This window comes from Homo sapiens, chromosome 1 (genome assembly GCF_000001405.40).
Source record: "Homo sapiens chromosome 1, GRCh38.p14 Primary Assembly".
In the NCBI taxonomy this organism is placed as follows: Eukaryota; Metazoa; Chordata; class Mammalia; order Primates; family Hominidae; genus Homo; species Homo sapiens.
The window spans coordinates 51,975,362-51,998,480 of record NC_000001.11 but is presented as its reverse complement, the minus strand read 5'-3'; the positions used below and the strand labels follow the sequence as shown (position 1 = coordinate 51,998,480).

At 46.6% G+C, this 23,119-nt stretch overlaps 1 protein-coding gene and 2 pseudogenes across 2 annotated transcripts in view, besides 1 other annotated feature; 1 reads left to right on the top strand and 2 right to left on the bottom strand.

The window, feature by feature from the left end:
- On the bottom strand, positions 2,442-2,737 carry RN7SL290P (RNA, 7SL, cytoplasmic 290, pseudogene; annotated as a pseudogene).
- Positions 7,758-7,867: a silencer, noted in NCBI's record as "silent region_883". NCBI's record gives its function as "represses an Ori minimal core promoter by ATAC-STARR-seq in GM12878 lymphoblastoid cells {active_cell/tissue: GM12878}" and the evidence as "EXISTENCE:reporter gene assay evidence [ECO:0000049][PMID:35858748]".
- Positions 7,781-23,119, top strand: part of RAB3B (RAB3B, member RAS oncogene family) — an 82,745-nt gene continuing 67,406 nt past the window's right edge. The window contains exons 1-2 of one of the 2 annotated variants that reach the window (NM_002867.4): positions 7,781-7,929; positions 21,364-21,591. In NM_002867.4, coding sequence (NP_002858.2) covers positions 21,364-21,591 — 228 coding nt within the window. In that variant the 5' untranslated portion in view covers positions 7,781-7,929. Of the gene's footprint in view, positions 7,930-21,239; positions 21,269-21,363; positions 21,592-23,119 lie in introns of those variants that run through there. The other variant, XM_017001958.2, reaches the window with a different exon arrangement.
- Positions 17,594-18,035, bottom strand: RPS26P14 (ribosomal protein S26 pseudogene 14; annotated as a pseudogene).

Below are 23,119 nucleotides of genomic sequence, written 5' to 3'. Positions count from 1 at the left end.
GAAAAAAACAGATGCAAATTCACAAAGATGTTATGGAGCAGGCCACATTCAAAGAACTGCAAGTAGTTTAATGTCGTGGGAGCTCAGGGTGTGAAGGGGGTGTGACCAGCAGTGAGGCTGGAGGGTAGATGAGACCAGATCACCAGGGGCCATTAGGCTTATTAAACAGATAAGCTTCTGAGTAGGGCAATGGGAGGTTTCAAGCTGGCTTTAGGAAGCGTCCTATGTTGCAGTGTGGAGTGCGGACTAACGGCAGATTGGAGGCTATTGCAGGAGCAGGATAGTGAGGAGACTGTGGCTATGGAATGAAGAGTTCCTGGGAAGTAGAATGGGCTGGGCTTGGTGAAGCATTGGCAGGGTTGGGGTGGGGAGGGAGGGGTGGTGGGTGGTACCGGGGTTCTGACCATTCACATGTTGAATGTTTCCCCTGTGTGTGTCTCAGATTCCACCCCTGCTGACAGTGTGTGCCCTGGCGATGGAGCAGTGTCCTTGTTGCAGATTTGAACCACTTTCACCTCGTAAACAGCAGCTGGTGAGAGGAATGGACTTGCACATTCATTCGTTTTACAAATGAAGAAACTGAAGCACAGAGAAGGAAGGAATGATTTGTGCAGGAGGTGGTATTTGAGATACTCATCATTTTCTCTCATTACCCACATTTGTTTCTACTCCTGTAGTAGTTTGGTTAAAGGCAATAGACTCCTTGTTCCTTATATTGTGCCTTTTTGTGATGTGACTTCGCTCTTCTTCCCAATCAAAAGTGGAATTTATTTCTTCCACCCCTTAAATCTGGACTGGGCTTGTGACTTGATTTGGTTAATATAATGCAGCATATGTGAGGTCGTGCGATTTCTAAGGCTTGGTCTTTAGAGATTGTGTCTTCTGCCTTTATACTCTTGGAATGCTGCCTTGAGACCACCATGTAAGCTGGTCTAGCCTACTAGTGGATGAGAGGTCACATGCAGAAAAACTGGGGTGCCAGTCCTCAGCTGGCACTGATTGCCAGACTTATGAATAAGGACATCTTAGACCTTCCAGGCCAGCAGCCCTTCCAACTGAATGCAGCTCCTGAATGATCGCAGGTGAAACCAGCAAAGGAGGCAGTTAGCCACTCACAGAATTATGAGAAATAGTGAATTATTGCTGTTTTAAGCCACTAAACTTTTGGGAGTGTTTTTTAAATGCAGCAATAGATAACAGAAACAACTTCTTTGCTTCCTGTTTCAGTAAATGGTTTTATTATCTACCTGGTTGTTTAGGCTGGTGCCCTTTTCTTTATATCTCACATTTAATCTGTCACCAAGTCCAGGGAACTTTACCTCCTAAATATATATCAAATCCCTCTGCTTTCTACCTTTCCCATTGCTATGACATTAGCTCAGGTCCTAGTCATCTCTTATCTAGATTATTACAGCAATCTCTATTGTTTTCTCTGTCTCCTATCTCTCTGCTCCCTATCCTTCCCATCCAATCTGTTGTATTCCCCTGCCACAGGCAGAGCTATCTTTCTCACAAGAATATGTAACCATGTTACTCCATTGCTTAAAATCTTTTTGTTTGCAAGGTAAGCTCCCAAATCCCTAATATGATGTACAAGGCCTTGGACCATCTGGCCTCTTCTTCTCTTTCCTCCCCGATCTTCCATCACTCCTCTCATTGAATCCTACATTTCTCAGCTGTTTCACAGGTACCTGCTTCAGCTACCCTATTGCATGGAGCAATCTATTGAATGGGTTGGATGGAAATGTCTGACCTGTCAACACATCTGAGTTCCTAAGCTGGCCATGAGGGACTCACACTAGGGTAAATATTCACCTTGTGAAAATTTGAACATTCCAAACGACATCCGCTTGTGCCATTTTCTAAGCCACTGATTATCATTCAATAAAAAGCTGACACCTGCGATCTTAGCTTCTTGGAAGGCTGAGGTGGGAGGATTGCTTGAGACCAGGAGTTCAAGATCAGACTGGGCAATATAGGAAGACCGCCCCCCCCCCCAACCCTAATAACAACAACAAAAGAGCATCAATTCTATACTTCTTATAAAACTAGGAGTTGGAGAAGGCTGATTACTCTGGCAACTACAAAAGGAAATTTTGTTGTAGGACTCTATTATTTATTTATTTATTTATTTTTGAGACAGGGTCTCTCTCTGTCACCCAGGCTGGTATGCAGTGGCATGCTCTTGGCTCACTGCAATCTCTGCCTCCCAGGTTCAAATGATTCTCTTGCTTCAGCCTCCCGAGTAGCTGGGACTACAGGCGTGCACTACCATGCCCAGCTAATTTTTTGTATTTTTAGTAGAGATGGGGTTTCACTATGTTGGCCAGGCTGGTCTCGAACTCCTGACCTCAGGTGATCTGCCCGCCTCGGCCTCCCAAAGTGCTGGGATTACAGGCATGAGCTACCGTGCCTGGCCTATTTATTTATTTTTTAAATATAGAGACAGGGTCTCTCCATGTTGCCCCAGCTGGAGTACAGTGGTTATTCACAGGCATGATCCCACTACTGATCAGCACAGAAGTTCTGGCCTGCTGTTTCTGACCTTGGCTGGTTCACTCCTCCTTGGGCAACCTGGTAGCCCCACACTCCTGGGAATTCACCATATTGATGCTGAACTTAGTGAGAACACCTGTTCTGCATAACACACATAACAGCCCAGAACTCCTGAGCTGAAATCATCCACCTGCCTCAGCCTCCCGAGTAGCTGGGACTACAGGCAGGTGCCATCTTGCCCTTGCAGGACTCTTAATCACAATGATGTTCACTGGGCAATCAAAATATAATTTTAGAGTCTAATAGAAAACGCCCTGTCCTTGGAGTCAGACAGACCTGCTATCTGGCTCTGCCACTTACCAGTTGTATGACCTTGGGCAAGTCACTTAAACTTTCTCAATTCTCTTTCCTTGTCTATAAAAAAGGGATGATAATCTATAACTTGCATAATTATATTGAGGATTAAATGAGATAAAAGATGTGAATAATCTTAGTGTAATTTAAAGATTCAATGAATATAATTGTTAACTAATCTGAGCCAAGACAAAAGGTAGAATTTTGTCTTCATTCAGGGGCCAGGTTCAGTGGCTCATGCCTGTAATTCCAGCACTTTGGGAGGCTGAGGCGGGGCAGATCACCTGAGGTCAGGAGTTTGAGACCAGCCTGACCAACATGGAGAAACCCCGTCTCTACTAAAAATACAAAATTAGCTGGGCGTGGTGGTACATGCCTGTAATCCCAGCAACTCAGGAGGCTGAGGCAGCCAAATCATTTGAACCCGGGAGGCGTAGGTTGCAGTGAGCCAAGATCACGCCATTGCACTCCAGCCTGGGCAACAAGAGCAAAACTCTATCTCAAAAAAAAAAAAAAAAGAATTTTGTTTTCCTTCCCATTCTTCCTTGGGCATTTGGATCTGGAAGTGAAGACAGTCCAGTATAATTTGATTTGTGTTGTTCTTCCCTCAGGTGGTTACCTTAGTCAATAAGAAGGTAGCTTATGAGGGCATAAATGATGCAACCCAAATGTCAGATGTGGCCTCTCTGCCTCCTTTTTTTTTTTTTTTTTTTTTGAGATGGAGTCTCGCTCTGTCGCCGAGGCTGGAGTGCAGTGGCGCGATCTCAACTCACTGCAAGCTCCGCCTCCAGGGTTCACGCCATTCTCCTGCCTCAGCCTCCCGAGTACCTGGGACTAAAGGCGCCCACCACGACGCCCGGCTAATTTTTTGTGTTTTTAGTAGAGACAGGGTTTCACCACGTTAGCCAGGATGGTCTTGATCTCCTGACTTCGTGATCCGCCCGCCTCGGCCTCCCAAAGTGCTGGGATTACAGGCATGAGCCACCGCCCCCGGCTTTTTTTTTTTTTTATTTGAGACCAAGTCTGACTCTGTCACCCAGGCAAGAGTGCAGTGGTGCGATCTTGGTTCACTGCAACCTCCGCCTCCCGGGTTCAAGCGATTCTCCTGCCTCAGCCTCCCAAGTAGCTGGGATTACAGTCACCTGCCACCATGCTGGCTAATTTTTTTGTATTTTTAGTAGAGATGGGGTTTCACAATGTTGGCCAGGCTGGTCTTGAACTCCTCACCTCAGGTGATCTGCCGACCTTGGCCTCCCAAAGTGCTGGGATTACAGGTGTGAGCCGCTGTCTGGCTGCCTCTCTGCCTCTTCAAGATCCAAATGCAATGGGCTTGAACCTCAATATTCACATTTCCCAACTCATGTAAGTGCAAAGTCCTACACAAGTTTTTGCAAGTTCCACAAGGGCTTGTGGTCTCACAGTTACCTCTGCTTCCAGTCTCCTTTTTCAACTGAGACCTAACAAAGCACATTGCTCAACTCCCTACTCATGTACTCTCACAATTCCCCTCTCTCAAAAAGCGTTCCTGGGTGTAATAGCCCTTCCTGAAGTCTTGAGAGTCACATAGGATGGTCACGTCCTAGTGTAACAAACAACTTATCCCATTTTAGGTATCCCACTGCTGAAACACTCTTGTCAACTACCATGGGAGAGTTTCTTCTGACTCTTTACCTATGTAGCACCTATCCTTACATTGATTTTCTTACTCATCTTTTTCCTTTTCCCCTCCGATCTCTATTAACTTGCCCTCCCATTTTGTCAAGTGAATTCCAAATTTGCCTTCCCCCAACCCTCCCACCCCCACCTTTTTTTTTTTTTTTTTTTTGAGATGGAGTTTCACTCTTGTTTCCCAGGCTGGAGTGCAACGGCGCAATCTCGGCTCATCGCAACCTCTGCCTCCTGCTACCCCTAATTTTGTTTAGATGGAGTCTCACTCTGTTGCCCATGCTGGAGTGCAGTAGCACAATCTCGGCTCACTGCAACCTCCGCCTCCCAGGTTCAAGTGATTCTCCCGCCTCAGCCTCCCGAGTAGGTGGGAGTACAGGCGCCCACCACCACGCCCGGCTAATTTTTGTATTTTTAGTGGAGACAGAGTTTTACCATGTTGGCCAGGCTGGTCTCGAACTCCTGGCCTCAGGTGGTCCCAAAGTGCTGGGATTGCAGACGTGGGCCATCATGCCCCACCTACCCCTACTCCCTTTTTAAACATAGAGAGCAATTTCTTCTCCCAAAGTTACGTATTCACTCTCATCAATTGAGGCCCCAAGCAGGACAAAAGGACTTTCTGTGCATTGGGATCTGTCATTCCTGGAAGGCAGTTGTGGTTTAAAAATAGCACTTTTTTTTTTCTGTTATACGAAGCACAGTGTTTCCTATTTGTTGAATGCTTACTGTATGCCTACCACTCTATCAAGTCCTCTCCAGTAGCTTGTGTTCTCATTTGATCTTCCCAACAACTCTGAGAAGCAGCTCTTATTATTGCTCTTTCTACAAATAAGGAAGGGGTGTGCGTGCGAGAGAAATTAGGTAATTGGCATAAGATCACACAGCAAGCAAGGACTGAAGACCAGGTCTGCCTGGCCCCAAGCCTGTGTGTGCCCTTTCTAATTTACTATACCGCCTTTCAGAGGAGGGAGAAGGAGAAAGCAACCAGAAGAACTGAGGCTACATAAAAGCAATACCATCTGTTCTCATATTGTCTCACAACTTTAAAAGGATGGCTCTATATGCTGTCTCATTATTCCTAGGAAGAAAGAATAATCATTATCATCTCGTCTATTTTGAAATGAGGGAAGTAGGGCCTTGTGAGAGAAAGAGAGTGAGGGAGCAGTTCAGCGTAGCATGTTTGATTTTGCTATTACAGAGGTACCAGCAGTGGGTGATTAAGAGCTCAAGAGTGACCATGGGAGCTGGTGGCCAAGGTGATGTGGAGGACAAGGACTGAGGGACCAGGAAATCTCATAGCTACTGAAGTCACCAGGAGGATGGCAGGACAGGGGCTAGTGAGGATGACCATGAGCCAGGGGCTGCAATCTGTAATGCATAAGGAGCAATTGGGGGGTCAGTGATGAGGAGGGGTTGAGGGGGGTATGGCTGGAGAGCACAGAAGAAAGAATTTTTGCACAAGGGTGGAAATGGCCATGCCATCCCCACATCCTAGTTTTATAGTATATGGGGAGTGGAAAAATGAGAAGCCTTCTAGCAGAGGGCAGCAAAGGAGGCAGTACCTGGAGGAGGCTCAGGCAAAGAAGTCACCTGAGTACTCTGAAGAAGCAGAGGGTATAGCAGAGTTTGTTGACAAAAGAACAGGATTCTAGAAGGCACAGAGGAAAGAGCTGCCAGTGTGATGGGCAGTGTGAGTGAAAGGGCTGGGCAAGAAGCTCAGAAGAGTAAGCGTCTGAGGCAGAGGCCAGACAAGCAGAGGAGCTGTCAGCTTGGGTGGTTCCTAGGCTGGAGATGTACACTGTAGACAGGGTCATAATGGAACTTGGGGGGAAAATGGTTTTGGTATTTGACTCAGACCTCTAAGATCTGAGATGGGGGAGAAGTGTGGGGAAAGACAATGATTCTAGAGCAAGCCTTCAGCTGGCTCCTGTGACCTCAGGAAGACTGGAAGTCCATATCAGGATTTGAGGGTGGGGTATTTATTGCCTCCTCTATCTGCCTCCTCTAGTGGAAGTGGGACTTCCTAGGGCCAGGCCAGGCAAGAACATTTTTCTACTCCTGTTGACAGCCTCCTGGTAATGGGAAACCATTGAGAGGTTTTTGTTTGTTTGTTTGTTTGGTTTTTGATGGAGTCTGGCTTTGTTGCCCAGGCTGGAGTGCACTGCTGGAGTGCAGTGATCTCGGCTCACTGCAACCTCTGCCTCCTGGGTGCAAGCAATTCTGCCTCAGCCTCCCAAGTAGCTGGGACTACAGGCATGCACCACCATGCCCGGCTAATTTTTGTATTTTTAGTAGAGACAGGGTTTCACCATGTTGGCCAGGTTGGTCTCGAACTCCTGACCTCAAGTGATCTGCCCACTTTGGCCTTCCAAAGTGCTGGGATTACAGGCGTCAGCCACTGTGCCTGGCCGAGAGTTTTCTTAAACAAGGTTGATGGTAACATGGTGACATTTTTTAAAGGGTTGCTCGGGCTTGTGTCAAAATGATTTTGGTATCTGACTCAGAATGAATGGGACCAGGAAGTCTCACAGCTACCGAAGTCACCAGGAGTATGGCAGAACAGGGGCTAGTTAGGATGACCATGGGCCAGGGGCTGCAATCTTTAATGCATAAGGAACAATTGGGTGTCAGTGATGAGGAGGGGTGGAGGGTGGTATGACTGGAGACCACAGGAGAAAGAATTTTTGTACAAGGGTGGAAATGGCCATGCTGACACCACGTCCTGGTTTTATAGGGTGAATTGGAGAGTGAAGGCAGGAATTAGGAAGCTGTTGCATTAGTCCAAGCAAGAAGTGATGATGCTGGAGTCAGAACAAGGGCAATGGAGACACAGAGGAAGGGCAGGGATATGTTAAGGCGGTGGGATGTGGGGTGTGAAGGAAACACAGATAGGGTAGAGGACAGCGTCCAGGTTTCTGGCTTGGTTTCCGCTTGTAGTCAGCCTCCCTCTCTGGGCTTTTGTGAAGACGGAGCCATAGAACGGACCGGACCAGAAAGCAGTTTGGAAATGGCAAAACTGCTACCCATCATCAGCTACATTATCATCAAAGCTCTCTAATTACCCTAGTAAGTTCAGTCAATGGAACGAGGCATGACAATTAAGATAAATCACGAGAGTCACCCAGACATGGGGGACCTGGAGGTCCTGAGTCACCTCGGATTACACCTGCTAGGAGTTGAGGGCCGGGGCGGGGCGAACACAGACTCCGCCCTTGGGCGGGGCCTGGATGCGGCCGGAGCGGAGCAGTGCTGGAGCGGGAGCCTCAGCCCTCAGGCGCCACTGTGAGGACCTGACCGGACCAGACCATCCCGCAGCGCCCCGCCCCGGCCCCCTCCGCGCCCTCCCGACGCCAGGTCCTGCCGTCCCGCCGACCGTCCGGGAGCGAACCCGTCGTCCCGCACTCGGAGTCCGCGGTAAGGGGCGCGGCCCCGGCAGCCCGCCCGCGGAGGATCAGGGACCGATCCCCGGCGCGGGGCGCTGGGCACCGAGAGCGGGCGCCGAGAAGGAGCGCGGGGCAGCGGAAGGAAGCCGGGGGAGGAGCGAGGGAGGGGGCTCCGCGGCGGCAGAGGTGGGGCTCACCTAGGGAGGGGGCGCCGAGGGGGTCTCCCAGACGTTGGGGGCAGCCGGGGGAGCTCCAAGGGCGGGAGGGGAGCAAGAAAGACGGCGCTGGGGCTGGGAGGAGAGATGGGGGGCAACTGGAGGGCAGTGAGGGATCGCTGGGGGAAACGGGGGCGTGGGGGGCGGGGGAGCTGCGAGGAGGGCGGAGTGGGGCTGTGCGGAAAGGTGGTACCGGGCAGCCGAGGGGCAGCGAAGGGGGCGGTGAAGGGAGCGGACTGAGGGGAGCTAGAGCGGGGGTGCGGGGGGAGGCATGGAGGTGAGGAGCTGAGGGGAGGGGACTGGCTGGGCGGGGGTCGTTTGGAGCTGGAGGGGACTGAGGTGCCGAGGGCAAGGGGCGCTGGGCAGCTGGGGAGTGTCTGGTTGGGAGAGGGTCGGGGGTGGGGATGTGGGTATGGATAGCTGGGAAGGAGAAAGGCAGCAGGGCAGTGTCTGGTCGAAAGAGGGTCATTTATGGGGGATGTGGGTATGGATAGCTGGGGTCGGAGGTTGAGCCCGGCTGGGGACCGGCGTGGGGGTAACTGTAGATGGAAGACGAGGGGTGGGGCTTGGGGGCGGGAAGCTTGGGAGAATGGAAGGGTGAGAGGCCAGGTTGGGTCTACCCTGCTGCAGAGGAAGGGGGCAGGGAGCCGGTGGAGACACAGGGAAGTGGCCTTGGAAATGGACACAGGGGCCTACATTCTGGTCAGGAGTGGAGAGGAGGCTCTGGAATAGAGTAGGGTCTGGCGGCTGCAAGTGGAGGAATCGTGGGAGAACTTGGAGTGTATAGATAGGGTGGTGGGGCGCTGGGTCAGCCTGGGGAGGAGGCCAGGTGTGGGTCGTGGTGTAAGGGTGGAAAGGTAATGGGGGCTGGAGTGGTGTCCACGCACTAGCGGTGTCTCGGCCACTCAGGAGTCCAAGGAGGGGACCCAGGCACTGGACCTTGTTACACGGGCACCGGGGATCACAGAAAATAAGAGAATCGTGGACAGAAAAAGTCATCCAACTCTGTTCTGTAGTCCAAGCATGGAAGCAACTTTGGGGAGGGCAGGGCAGCAGCCTTTGGAAGCTAAGAGAGATGTGGAGGAGGTGGGAGAAAGATGGGCCCTCAAAACACACACACACACACACACACACACACACACACACACACACACACACAAAACAAGATGGGCCCTCTTCCCCCGGCTTCCTGGAATCCAGATGGAAAGGGGTGGGAGACAGTAAAAGGAGAGGATGTGTGTGTGTGTGTGTGTGTGTGTGTGTGCGCGCGCACAGGTGGGTGTCCACCTGTTCTGTGCCTATAAACAGAGGAAGACAATGGAAGCCGTGAAAGGCCCTATCTATAGAAGTGGAAAGCCCTGGTGCCCTGTGGGAGCCAGAGAAGAAGCATTTTGGGGGAGGTGGGTGGGTTGGGGAAGCCTTCCTGGTCATGAAGGATTTAGCTAGCAGTGGAGGAAAGTGTGTTCCTATCAGAGGAAACCGTATGGGAAAAGGCAAAAATCTAAAAGCATCTCCAGTCCAAGAAATAGATCTTCAGTTTCTTAAAGATTATGACATGAAGGGAGGCATCAGTAACCTATACAAAATATTTAAATAGATTTCCCCTCTAAGCTTGAAGCTCCTAGGGTTTCTCTCCATCTCCCTAAAGTATAGCACAGGTCCTGGTGCATAGTAGGTGCTTGGTGAATGTTGATTGAATGAATAATTGGTGCTCCTGCCTCAATTTCTTCATCCATTCCCAAGAATTGTTGTGAGAATCAAATAGGATAATGTGGGTGAAAAGAACTTTGTAAACTGTAAAACAATGTACAAAGAGAGAGGCCACTGATGTTATTCTGCAGGTGTTCCTGTTTTGTCAGTGGACACACCCATGGCTATCTCTTTCCAATCTGGAGGAGGAAGGAAATGAATATCAAGCATCTGTTGGTGCAAGATGGAATGCTTTGAAAGCATCTTGTAGAATGCTAGACATTTAGTAGGTGCTCAATAAATGGTAGCTATTGTGATATTGTTTCTGTGGCTCTAGGAGACCTGGGAAAACAATGAGAAGGTGGTGATGGGTCAGCAGTGGGGAATGGTCTAAAGACAGATTGAATTAGAAAAGTAGAGTATGGCTTAAAGGAGGATGAGGTCCACATTTGCCCAACTCCCTTCTTATTCTCACTGAAATGCTCCAAGTAGGAAGACAGGGAATTACATTATTGAGCCCCTGCTATATTGCATATACAGTTGACCTTTGAACAGCATGGGTTTGAACTGTGTAGGTTCACTTATACCTGAATTTTTTTTTTCAACCAAACACTGATTAAAAAAAATACCATGGTGGGTCAAGCGCAGTGGCTCAAACCTGGAATCCCAGCTATTTGGGAGGCTGAGGTAGGAGGATCGCTTGAGCCCAGGAACCTGAAGCTACAGTGAGTTATGATCAGGCCACTGTACTCCATCCTGGGAAACAGAGTGACACCCATCTCTTAAAAAAGAAGAAAAAGAGAAGAAAATACAGTAGTGAAGGGAGGTGAAGTCTGTATATTCAGAGGACCAACTTTTAGTCTAGGTGGGTTCCACTGGGCCAACTGTGGTTCTTGAGTAGGCGTGGATTTCGGTATATATGGGGGTCCTGGAGCCAATCCCTTGCCTATACCAAGAAATTACTGTACTATTCTAGATGTATAACCCACATTACCTATAATTTTCCCAACAACACTTGTTTTATGAATGAGGAAACTGTCTTAATCATGTAACATTTCTTGCCAAGGTCTCATAGGTAATAAATGATAGACCTGGAAACTGAATCTAGTTTGTTTGATTTGGAGCTCCAAACTATTTCCACTACACAGGATGACTTGCTAGAAGAAACCATGAAGCACAGAGACAAACAAACAAACAAAATAAGGGGTTAATAAAACACCCTCCCATATACAGGTTTTAATTCTTGCAACAGTTTTGCCAGGAAGCCATTTTATGAGCTCCTTTTATAGATAAGGAAACTGAGGCCAGGGGTGTGATTTGCCTAAGTTTACAGGATCACTGAAAGAGCCAGGGCTTATCTTTCAAATGCCAGGTCTCTTGGACTCAGTCTCATGTTCTTTGCAACAAAAGGTAAGTTCCTTCATTCACTTCTTCACTCCATTTATTGAGCTGATCTCTTCTCGCTGGATTTTAGGGCTCTCTCCTCCTCCTCCCCGCTCTTTCCTGGCTGAAGTTGGCTTCTTCCTTAGGTGCTTATTTCTGCCGCCTATCAGACTGAAAGGGTTGTTTTTCACAGCCACCCTTTGAGGAGTCATTTCTTTCCCCCAGCCTGGGACAGGGACGACTTCCCAGATGGTCCCTGGGCCTTCATCTGTATTGCTTGTCACGGAGATAGCTCTATCATTTTATGTGACTGTCACAAAATAGAGGAAAGATTTGATTGATGCTTATCTTACAAATGCAATTCTGCATGCACCACTGTGCATGACCTGTCTGCTTAGATCTGCCTCAGGCAGCTGCCTGCTGGGATGCTTTTTGCCTGTCTTCCAAATGTCTGAGTAGCCCCTGGCCGCCCCCTCCTAAGAAGATCCCCTTGGGGGCTTCCATCTGAATGAGCCTTCCAACTGAACTCAGCTCTCTGCCTCTCCCCGTTCTCACACCACCTACTGGGAAAGCCATGCTGTGTGTGCATAAGCAGATGTTAACAGTGTGGTATGGCAAGTACAGTACGGTAGCAGGACACTCAGGATGTTGGGTATGCTTCTTTTTTTTAATTTTTATTTTTAGAGATAGGGTCTCACTCTGTCACCCAGGTTGGGATACAGTGGTGCAATCATAGCTCACTCTAACCTCGAACCTCTGGACTCAAGTGATTTTCCAGCCTCAGCCTCCCAAGTACCGAGGACTACAGGTGCACACCACCACATCCGACTAATTTAAACTTTTTTTGGCTGGGCGCGGTGGCTCACGCCTGTAATCCCAGCACTTTGGGAGGCCGAGGCAGGCGGATCACAAGGTCAGGAGACCGAGACCATCCTGGCTAACACGGTGAAACCCCATCTCTAGTAAAAATACAAAAAATTAGCCGGGTATGGTGGCGGGTGTCTGTAGTCCCAGCTACTCGGGAGGCTGAGGCAGGAGAATGGCGTGAACCCGGGAGGCGGAGCTTGCAGTGAGCTGAGATCGCGCCACTGCCCTCCAGCCTGGGCGACAGAGTGAGACTCTGCCTCAAAAAAAAAAAAAAAAAAAAAATTCGTAGAAATGGAATCTCACTATGTTTCCCAGGCTGGTTTTGAACTCCTGGCCTCAAGTGATTTTCCCATTTTGGCATCCCAAAGTGTTGGGATTACAGGCATGAGCCACCATGCCCAGCCAGGATGCTTCTTTATTCACCCTAAAATTGTTGTGGTTTTCGTTTTCCTTAATCCCGTCAAACCTGGAAGCCATTAGGTAACAGAAGTTCCATTCATGACCCTCCAACTGACTTGCTGTGTGAGCTTGGACAAATCACTTGTCTTTGCAGAGCCTCAATTTTTTTTTTTTTTTTTTACCTGTAAGATAAACGGAGGTAGATCAGGAACTGAAACAATTTTTTACTCTTGCCATCACTTCCTAGTCTCCTATCTGTGGCAGTCACAGCTAATAAAGGCAGGCAAATTTCTCACTGATTCTACACGAGGCTACATGTATTTTTCTCAGCACAGTGTATGAAACATACTTATATACGTTCTCTTATTTAAAATTCACAGCACCTCGTGAAGTAAGTATTATTGTCAGATGAGGACACTGAGGCATAGAATTTAAGTAACTAGGCCAAGTTTACACACTGAGTTACTGGGAAAGCTGGGCCCAGTAGCCAGGCTTTTTGTTACAATAAAAAGCTGCTACTCCAAAGTCCCCTCTAATTCTAGCAGTTTAAGAGTGTGAAGCTGGGCTACATCAGAAAAGTGAAAACCAGTAATCTGACATTTACACTGATAGTCTGGCACTTGAAAAATGCTCTATATGTGTTTCTTGAAAGACATAACACCCTCTAAGGATTTACTGTAGGTCTAGCGTTGACCAGATGTAAGGATGGATAAAGCCCCCTTGAATCCAGAAGAGAGAGCAAACAGTTAATTGTAAAACAGGCCCAAATAATGGAGCCACAATCAGGGAGAGGGCAGTTGAACAAGATTTGCCTGCAGAAGTGAATTAAAGGGGCCAGTGAAATAATATGTATTCAGTACCTCCATGGGCCGAGAAACTGTGTCAGATTGTTTACGTATAGTACTACTCTTTCTATTTGTACCAAGCTCTGTGAAGTAGGTGGTATTTTCTCTATTTTAAGGTAAAAGTGCTGTGGCTTAGAGAGGCAATATGACTTACCTAAGAATTCATCTGAGGGTAGAGCATTGATTTTAAACTTTTTCATAACACTGCAGGGTACTAAGTCTAGTCTCGGCTGTTAGCTATGAGATTTGGGCAAATCCTTTTAATTTCTCATTTTCAGTTTCCTTCTTGATCAAATGGAAATAATAATCCACGTCTTTCCAGCTTTATTTCCCAGGTTTATTTAGAGATAAAAGAAGATAAAGGATATGAAATTGTGGTAAAGATCACATTTATGTTTTAGTAGTGACTCTTTGACCAGCAATTCCACTTCAAGGAATCTCTCTCAAGGAAGTAATTAGGAAAATGTACAAAAATTTATGTAAAGAAATGTTCACTGCAGTTTCATGTATAATAATTAAGAGTAGAAAAACAACTTAAAAACAACTTCCTAAAGAGAGTGACAACATTAAATAATTGATCTGGCTGGGCCAACATGGTGAAACCCCATCTCTATTAAAAATACAAAAATTAGCCGGTGTGATGGTGAGCACCTGTAGTCCCAGCTACTTGGGAGGCTGAGGCAGGAGAATCGCTTGAACCCAGGAGTTGGAGGTTGCAGTGAGCCAAGATTGTGCCATTGCACTCCAGCCAGGGTGACAGAGCAAGACTCTGTCTCAAAAAAAAAAAAAAAAAAAAAGAATTGGTCTTATGACACATCTATAGGATGGAATATAATGTAGTCAACTGAAATGATGTTTTTTTAGAGTTTTCAAAGTCTCGTTCATGCTTTTTTTTTTTTTTTTTTTTTTTTTTTTTTTTTTAATTAGAGAGTCTCCACTGTTGCCTGGGCTGGAGTGCAGTGGCACAATCTCCGCTCACTGTAACCTCCGCCTGCCAGGTTCAAGTGATTCTCCTGCCTCAGCCTCCAGAGTAGCTGGGATTACAGGCAGCCACCACCACGCCCAGCGAATTTTTTGTATTTTTAGTAGAGATGGGGTTTCACCATGTTGGCCAGACTGGTCTCGAACTCCTGACCTCGTGATTCACCCGCCTCAGCCTCCCAAAGTGCTGGGATTACAGGCATGAGCCACCGCGCCCAGCCCTTACTTTCTTTTCTTTTTTTTTGAGACAGTGTCTTGCTCTGTCACCCAGACTGGAGTGTAGTTGTGCAATCTTGACTCACTGCAGCCTCCGCCTCCTGGGTTCAAGCAATTTTTGTGCTTCAGCCTCCTGACTAGCTGGAATTACAGGTGTGCGCCACCACACCTGGCTAATTTTTATATTTTTAGTAGAGACTGGATTTCACCATGTTGGCCAGGCTGATCTTAAACTCCTGAGCTCAAATGATCCGCCTGCCTCGGCCTCACAAAGTCCTGGGATTATGGGCCTGAGCCACGGCACCTGGCCTCAAAATCTCATATTTTTGTAGTACTTTTGGTACTACTAAATTTTTGTAGTATTTAAGTACAGTCTTGCATTGCTAATGACAAGGATATGTTCTGAGGGATGTGTCATTAGCCGATTTCATAGTTGTATGAACATCATAGAGTATACTTACACAAACCTATATGGTATATGGTATAGCTTACTATACACATAGTCTATATGGAATAGATAGCCTATTGCTCCTAGGCTGCAAACCTGTACAGCATGTTACTGTATTGAATGTAGCAGGCAATTGTAACACAGTGGTAAGTATTTGTGTAGCTAAACACATCTAAACATAGAAAAGGTACAGTAAAAATATGATGGTTTTTTTTTTTGAGACCAAGTCTGGCTCTATCACCCAAGCTGGAATGCAGTGGTGCAATCTCAGCTCACTGCAACCTCAGCCTCCCGAGTAGCTGGGATTACAGGTATCTGCCACCATGCCTGGCTAATTTTTTGTATTTTAATAGGGATGGAGTTTCATCATGTTGGCCAGGCTGGTCTCTATCTCCTGACCTCAAGTGATCCACCCACCTTGGCCTCCCAAAGTGCTGGGATTACAGGTGTGAGCCACTGCACCCAGGCATAATATGGTATAAGAGATAAAAAATGGTACACCTATATAAGACACTTAACCATGAATGGAGCTTGCAGGGCCGGCAGTTGCTCTGGGGGAGTCAGTGAGTGAGTGGTGAGTGAATGTGAAGGCCTAGGACATTACCATACACTATAGGAGACTTTATAAACACTCTACACTTAGGCTACACTAAATTTATTTAAAAATATGTTTCTCCAATAATAAATTAACTTTGGCTTACTATAACTTTTAAACCTTATAAACTTAAAAAATTTTTAAAACTTCTTAGACTCTTTTATTTTTTATTTATTATTATTATTATTATTTTTTTGAGATTGAGTCTTGCTCTGTCACCCAGGCTGGAGTGCAGTGGATCTCTGCTCACTGCAACCTCCACCTCCCGAGTTCAAGCAATTCTTGTGCCTCAGCCTCCTGAGTAGCTGGGATTACAGGTGCGCACCACCACGCCTGGCTAATTTTTGTATTTTTAGTAGAGATGAGGTTTCACCATGTTGGCTAGGCTGGTCTTGAACTCCTGACCTTAAGTGATCTGCCTGCCTCGGCCTCCCAAAGTCTGGGGTTACAGGTCTGAGCCACCATGCCCAGCCATAGACTCTTTTATAACAACACTTAACTTAAAGCACAAATACACCGTATGGCCTTTTTTGAGATGAAGGCTCAGTGTGTCACCTGGATTGGAATGCAGTGGTGCAATCATGGGTCACTGCAGCCTCAAACTCCTTGGCTTGAGCGATCCTCCCACCTTGGCCTCCCAAAGTGTTGGGATTATAGGTATGAGCCACTGAACCTGGCCTTTTCTTTCTTTTCTTCCTTAGTTTTTAAATTTATGTTTAAAATTATTTTGTTAAAAAGGAAGACACAAATACACACACCTGAGCTTAGGCCTACACAGGGTCCAGGAGCATCAATATCACTGCCTTCCATTTCCATGTCTTGTCCCACTGGAAGGTCTTCAGGGGCAATAATAGGCATGGAGCTGTCATCTCTTATGGCAATATCTTCTTCTGGAATACCTCCTGAAGGACCTGCCTGAGGCTGTTTTACTGTTAACTTTTTAAAAAATATTAAATATAAATAGAAAAAGTACACTCTAAAATAACAATAAAAAGTGTAGTAAGTAAATACAGAAGCCAGTAACATAGTCATTTATTATCAATATCAAGTATTATGTATAGCACATAATCATATGTGCTATACTTTTATACAACTGGCAATGCAGTAGGTTTGTTTACACCAGCATCAACACAAATATGTGAGTAATGTGTTGTGCTACAATGTTACCATGGCTACTATGTCACTAGGCAATAGGAATTTTTCAGCTCCATTATAATCTTATGGGACCGCCATTGTACATGTGGTCTGTCATTGACTGAAATGTTGTTATGCAGTTCATGATTGTACTTTTAAAATTTAAGTGATTTGCTAAATGATAACATACCATATATTCTAGCCTATACCTTGTACATATGATGTCAGCTATTACAATATGCATAGAAGGTATAGACTAGAATGCATGGTATGTTATTTATATAGAAATAAAAAGTATAAATAGGTCTCTTTGCTTATATATGCAAGGGCTATCTCTGAAGGATATATAAATTGATAACATGTATGCCTCTGGGGAGGGGAACTGGATCAGGAATCAGAGATGGAAGCAAGACTTACTTTTCAGTGTAAACCTTTAGGTTTCATATTACTTGTATTTTATGCTAGGAATTAAGAAAATAATGCAGCTGGGTGTGGTGGCTCTCGCCTGTAATTCTAGCACTTTGGGAGGCCACGGAGGGCAGATCACTTGATCCCGGTTTAAGACCAGCCTGGACAGCATGGTGAAACCCCATCTCTACAAAAAGTACAAAAATTAGCTGAGCATGGTGGCACATGCCTGTAGTCCCAGCTACTCGGGAGGCTGAGGTAAGAGGATTGCTTGAGCCCAGGAGATCAAGACTGTAGTGAGCCAAGATAGTGCCATTGCACTCCAGCCTGGGCGACAGAGAGAGACCCTGTCTCAAAATAAAATAAAATAAAATAAAAATAATAATAATTGAGCTACAGCTGGTAAAAAAGGTAATACTTGCAAATAGGATATGCTTGAATTATTTTCCGTAAGTATGTATTACCTTTTAAATTAACAAATAAAACATAGTATTAAAATAGATGGCTTTTTTTTAAAGTACAATTTCCATTTTATTTTTCTCCAGGAAATAGTCCATCTTCAGTCTTTAAGGACTCAGCTCCTTACATGGGCTTTGGTGGGGGTCGTGGGGCAGCACCTACAGGTCTAAATCAGGGTGGGGGTGTTTGGTCCTTGCGGGCTTCATGAGATCGATTCCTGACTACTTTGCTGTGAATTGCACAACTCGCATAGTAATGTAGCTTCACATACTGCTTGGGAAGCACATAGGCATCGAAGATGCTCACTTCAGAAATGTCCCTGACTGCTGTGGCCTCCACTATGTTTCAAATGACGAATTTCTTAATGGCCTTGTCCTTGGGCACACATTGGGCACAGTTCATCCAGTGAATAGGCTGCAAGTGGCTGCAGGCCTTTTTGGCATGACCATTGTTCCTTCTTTTCTTTGTCATCTTGGAGGCATGGACTGGAGAGAGGAGGTTTTTTTTTTTTTTTGGTAGAGACAGTCTTGCTCTGTTGCCCAAGCTGGAGTGCAGTGGCACAATCATGGTTTACTGCAGCTTCAAATTTCTGGGCTCAAATAATACTCCTGCTTCAGCCTCCCAAGCAGCTGGGATTATAGATGTGTGCCACCACGGCTGGCTAATTTTTTACTTTTTGTAGAAATGGGGTCTCCCTATGTTGCCCAGGCTGGTCTTGAACTCCTGGCCTGAAGCCATCCTCCCACTTTGGCCTCCCAAAGTTCTGGGATTACAGGTGTGAGCCACTGCACCTGGCCTTAGGTGGCACTCTTTTGTATGAAAAAATATTGGAGGAAATACAGTAAAATGTTAACAGCCATAGTTTCTGAGTGGGTGGGATGTCAGTTAATTTTTTTTTTGGGGGGGTGGAGTCTCGCTCTGTCGCGTAGGCTGAAGTGCAGTGGCCTGGATCTCAGCTCACTACAAGCTCCGCCTCCCTGGTTCACGCCATTTTCCTGCCTCAGCCTCCTGTAGCTGGGACTACAGGCACCCGCCACCACCCCTGGCCAATTTTTTGTATTTTTAGTAGAGATGGGGTTTCACCGTGTTAGCCAGGATGGTCTCGATCTCCTGACCTCGTGATCTGCCTGCCTCGGCCTCCCAAAGTGCTGGGATTACAGGCGTGAGCCACCGTGCCCAGCCGTCAGTTAATTTTAAATTCTCTTTTTTACACTTTTGCATAATATAATTTTCAAATTTTTTATAATGAATATATTCATAGTAGAAATTTTCTCTTGTGAATAAAGAAAGATGACTTGCAGGCAGCAGAGCGGAGGATGGTGTGAGGTTGTTGTGGTTGCTTCCCTTGTTTTTATGTAGAAAAAGCATAATGTGGCCAGGTGTGGTGGCTCACGCCTGTAATCCTAGCACTTTGGGAGGCTGAGGCAGGTGGATCACCTGAGGTCAGGAGTTCGAGACCAGCCTGGCCAACATGGCAAAACCCCGTCTCTACTAAAAATACAGAAATTAACTAGGCATGGTGGCAGATGCCTGTAATCCCAGCTACTTGGGAGGCTAAGGCAGGAGAATCGCTTGAACTCAGGGGGCAGAGGTTGCAGTGAGCCAAGGCTGCACCACTGCACTCCAGCCTGGGCGAAAAGAGCAAGACTCCATCTCAGAAAAAAAAAAAAAAAAAGCATAATGCCTTTACATGGCAAGTTCTTGCAACAGCCTTTGCACCTAGTACCATGAAAAGCTGAAAAGTTAAGGCTGTGAGACAGTTTAAGCAGCCAATGGCACCCTCCCTTCCAACCTCACTTTCTTCCTCCATGTAAGTGCTATGCCTCAGTCTCCAAGTGTCCTGGGCATGTTCCACACTTGCCTAGTGAGTCTTGTCATGGGGCAGATTGATACAGGGATGGAACTTACAGTCTCAGATAAGGATTGAGAGCTGGGAACAAAGGGAAGGAAGAACAGAGACCACAGGAGTCCAGTGGTGACATATGCAAGGAACTTTTATTAAAAGGCTGCTAACAATCTTACATATTTGTCTAACTTTTCTTCAAGAGAGCTTTAAACCTACATTAATCAGCTCCTTATCCTTACAGCTCATCTGAGAGGCCCAAAGAGCCACACCCACCAGCCTCATGCCCTTTCTTTGCCCTTGGGGAAAAAAACAGGAATTCCTAAAAAGAATGAAAACCCAGACACCATCACACTTGAATGCTGTCCTCCCACCCTCCTCTGACCACTCATCCAGCCATCTGGGTACCCTTGTGCTGAGAAGAAGGGGAGATTTCAGGTGGAGAAGCAGGGTACCTGAGGCTTCCAAGACATAGGAGAAGCAATTAAAGACTTAAATAAGACCATGTGACCAAGTGCTGAATTATGGAGTTCAGATTCGGGTGTTCTAGGAAAGCAGATGGTGACAGAACTGAGAAGGCTGGGGTCTCAGGAAAGGCCTGGCATGTATTAAATATTTGCTGAGTGAATGAGTGAACAAATAAAGGACCTAGGCTTTGAAGGCTTTGGAATAATAAGGACATATGTTCACATCTGTGTGGAATTTACCAGTTGATAATGGTTTCATCCATTGTTATCTCATTTGAGTCCTGTGATAGCCCTGTGAGAAGAGCAGGGTGGAAATTGTTCTCCCCATTTTCCAGATGAGGAGATTGAGCCCCAGAGTGATGAAGTGACTGTGATGAATTCAGCACACATTTCCTGAGTGCTTATTATGTGCTAGGATTCATGCTGGAAGCCAGACATGTAGGAATGAAGTCCATTAAGGCCCAGATGCTCATTCCAACAGTGCTGAAGTGATACAAGGGCTGTTACAGTGTTCTGGGAGCACAGGGAAGCTGGCACTTGATCTGGATCTCCAAGGATGGGTAGGAGTCTTTTAGGAGGAAAAGAGAATTCTAGGCAGAAGGAATACATGTAAGGGACAAAGGCAAGGAATAATGTGGCTTATTTGGCATAAAGTGTGTAATTAGATCTAAGGGAAGCACAGGTTGGTGAAGAGAAGGGGTATGGGAAGATAAAGTTTAGAGAATTGCCTCTTTGGTTAGTTGGTTATTTGTCAAATTGAACAGTTTGGACTTGATCTTTAGAGCTGTGGAAAGCCATGAAAGTTTCTATGTTTTATTTATTTTATTTTTTAGAGATGAGGTCTTGCTCTGCTACCCAGGCTGGCATTCAGTGGCATGATCATGGCTCCCTGCAGCGTCGAACTCCTGGGCTCAAGTGATCCTCCCACCTCAGCCTCCTGAGTCATAATAGTTTTTGAAGCAAGAGAATGATAGCCCTTTACTGAGTCTTTCCTTGGATGTGCATGTGTTTGCTGTTCTTGGCTTTTTTTTTCTTTCCCCAAAATAGCTCAGGAGCTGCTTCCTCCAGGAGCCTCTCCTTGATCACCGGGCCTCCAGGCTGAATGAGATGCTTCTCATGGACTTCCTCAGCCAGGACTCCTCTGTCTTATCACTTATCTACTGCTTTGTTACTCTGTGTTGACCCACCTTTTATTCTAGTTTTTGTCCACCTAGAGGTCAGGCACCATGTCTGACTCATGTTTGTAAGCCCCATGCCCAGCACAGGGCTTGCCCCAGATCAATGTGCTCAGTAAATATTTGCTGAAGGAATGAATGGGAGGAGCTGGGTTCCACCTCAGTGCTGAGACAACATTTGGGGCAGGTGTAGTGATGGGGTGATTCTGAGTAGTGTGCATTTCCTCAGTGGTGCTGGAGTAAGGAGTGAGTGTGTGAATGGTGGGGTGACCATTAGAAGGATGGTGACTCAGGGTGACACCGAAGGTCTGTTCCTGAGTGACTCTAGGTCTCTCTTGCAGATGGCTTCAGTGACAGATGGTAAAACTGGAGTCAAAGATGCCTCTGACCAGAATTTTGACTACATGTTTAAACTGCTTATCATTGGCAACAGCAGTGTTGGCAAGACCTCCTTCCTCTTCCGCTATGCTGATGACACGTTCACCCCAGCCTTCGTTAGCACCGTGGGCATCGACTTCAAGGTGAAGACAGTCTACCGTCACGAGAAGCGGGTGAAACTGCAGATCTGGGTGAGTCCCGGGAATCTTGGGCAGGATTTTCCTGAGAAGCGGCTGGCCTGCCAGTACAAGGGCTTAGAGGTGGGGCCAGCTTGGAACTTCTGGGCCTTACAGCATCAGGCATTAATGCTGTTTCAGGTGTGGCCCCTGGGCTACCCTCTGCTAGTTTTATACAAGTTTGCTCTCCTCCAGGGGTTCAGTTGCTTCTGCTGTTTAACTATCCAGGAGGTTTTATGTTGGCTTGTCTAAATGAGTGACCAAGAAACTGGGGCTTGGAGTTAGAGACTTGGGTTCAAATTCTGCTTCTACCACTTACTAGTCATGGAACTTGACTGAATTGCTTAACTTCTCTGGGGCACCCTTTCTCCTTTGGGGATTGTAATAGCATCTACATCATAAGGCTGTTGGGTCCTTAGGTCCTTGGCTTAGTTCCTGGAACATAGTAAATGCACACTAAATGTTAGCTAAGGTATCAGTTATCTACTGTCGTATAACAAATCACTTCATAAGTTCATAGTGCCAGACTGGGCAACATTGTGAGACCTCATCTCTCAAAAAAATAAAACAAATTAGCTGGGCATGGTGGTGGGCTCCTGTAGTCCCCATTACTTGGGAGGCTGAGGTGGAAGGATTGCTTGAGCCCAGGAGGTCGAGGCTGCAGTGAGCCATGATCATGCCACTGCACTCCAGCCTGTGCAACGGAGCGAGACTCCATCTCAAATAAATAAATAAATAAATAAATAAATAAATTGGTAGTGTCAAACAACAATAATAATTCATTATCTCATAGTTTCTGTGGATCAAACATTTGGGAGTGGTTGGGGCCTCTCATGAGGTGTAGCCAGATGTTGGCTTGGCTTGCAGTCATCTGAAACATACACTGGAGCTGGAGGATCTTTTTTTTTTTTTTAAGACGGAGTCTTGTCCTGTTGCCCAGGTTGGAGTGCAGTGACATGATCTCAGCTCACTGCAACTTCCGCCTCCCGGGTTCAAGCGATTCTCCTGCCTCAGCCTCCCGAGTAGCTGGGACTACAGGTGCCCGCCACCATGCCCAGTTAATTTTTGTATTTTTAGTAGAGATGGTGTTTCACCATGTTGGCCAGGCTGGTCTCGAACTCCTGACCTTGTGATCCGCCCACCTCGGCCTCCCAAAGTGCTGGGATTACAGGTGTGAGCCACCGCGCTTAGCCTGGGGCTGGAGGATCTTAAGACTGCACACTCACATGTCTGGTGCTAGCTGTTGGCAGAAGGCCTTACTTCGTTCCCATTTGGCCTCTTAGAGTGTCTTCACAGAGCTGCTGAAGTGTCTTTATTTGCATAGCAGCTGGCTTTTCCCAGAGTGAGAGATGTAAAAGGCCAGAGGAAGTGGCAATGTCTCTTATGAGTTAGCCTTAGCCTTACAGCGTTCTGTTGGTCACTGATTCAGCATGGGAGGAAACTACACAAAAGTGTGGATATTGGGAGGAAAGTATCACTGGGGACCATCTTGGAAGCTGGCTGCCACAGCTACTATTATTATTAGTATCTGCCAATAGTACTA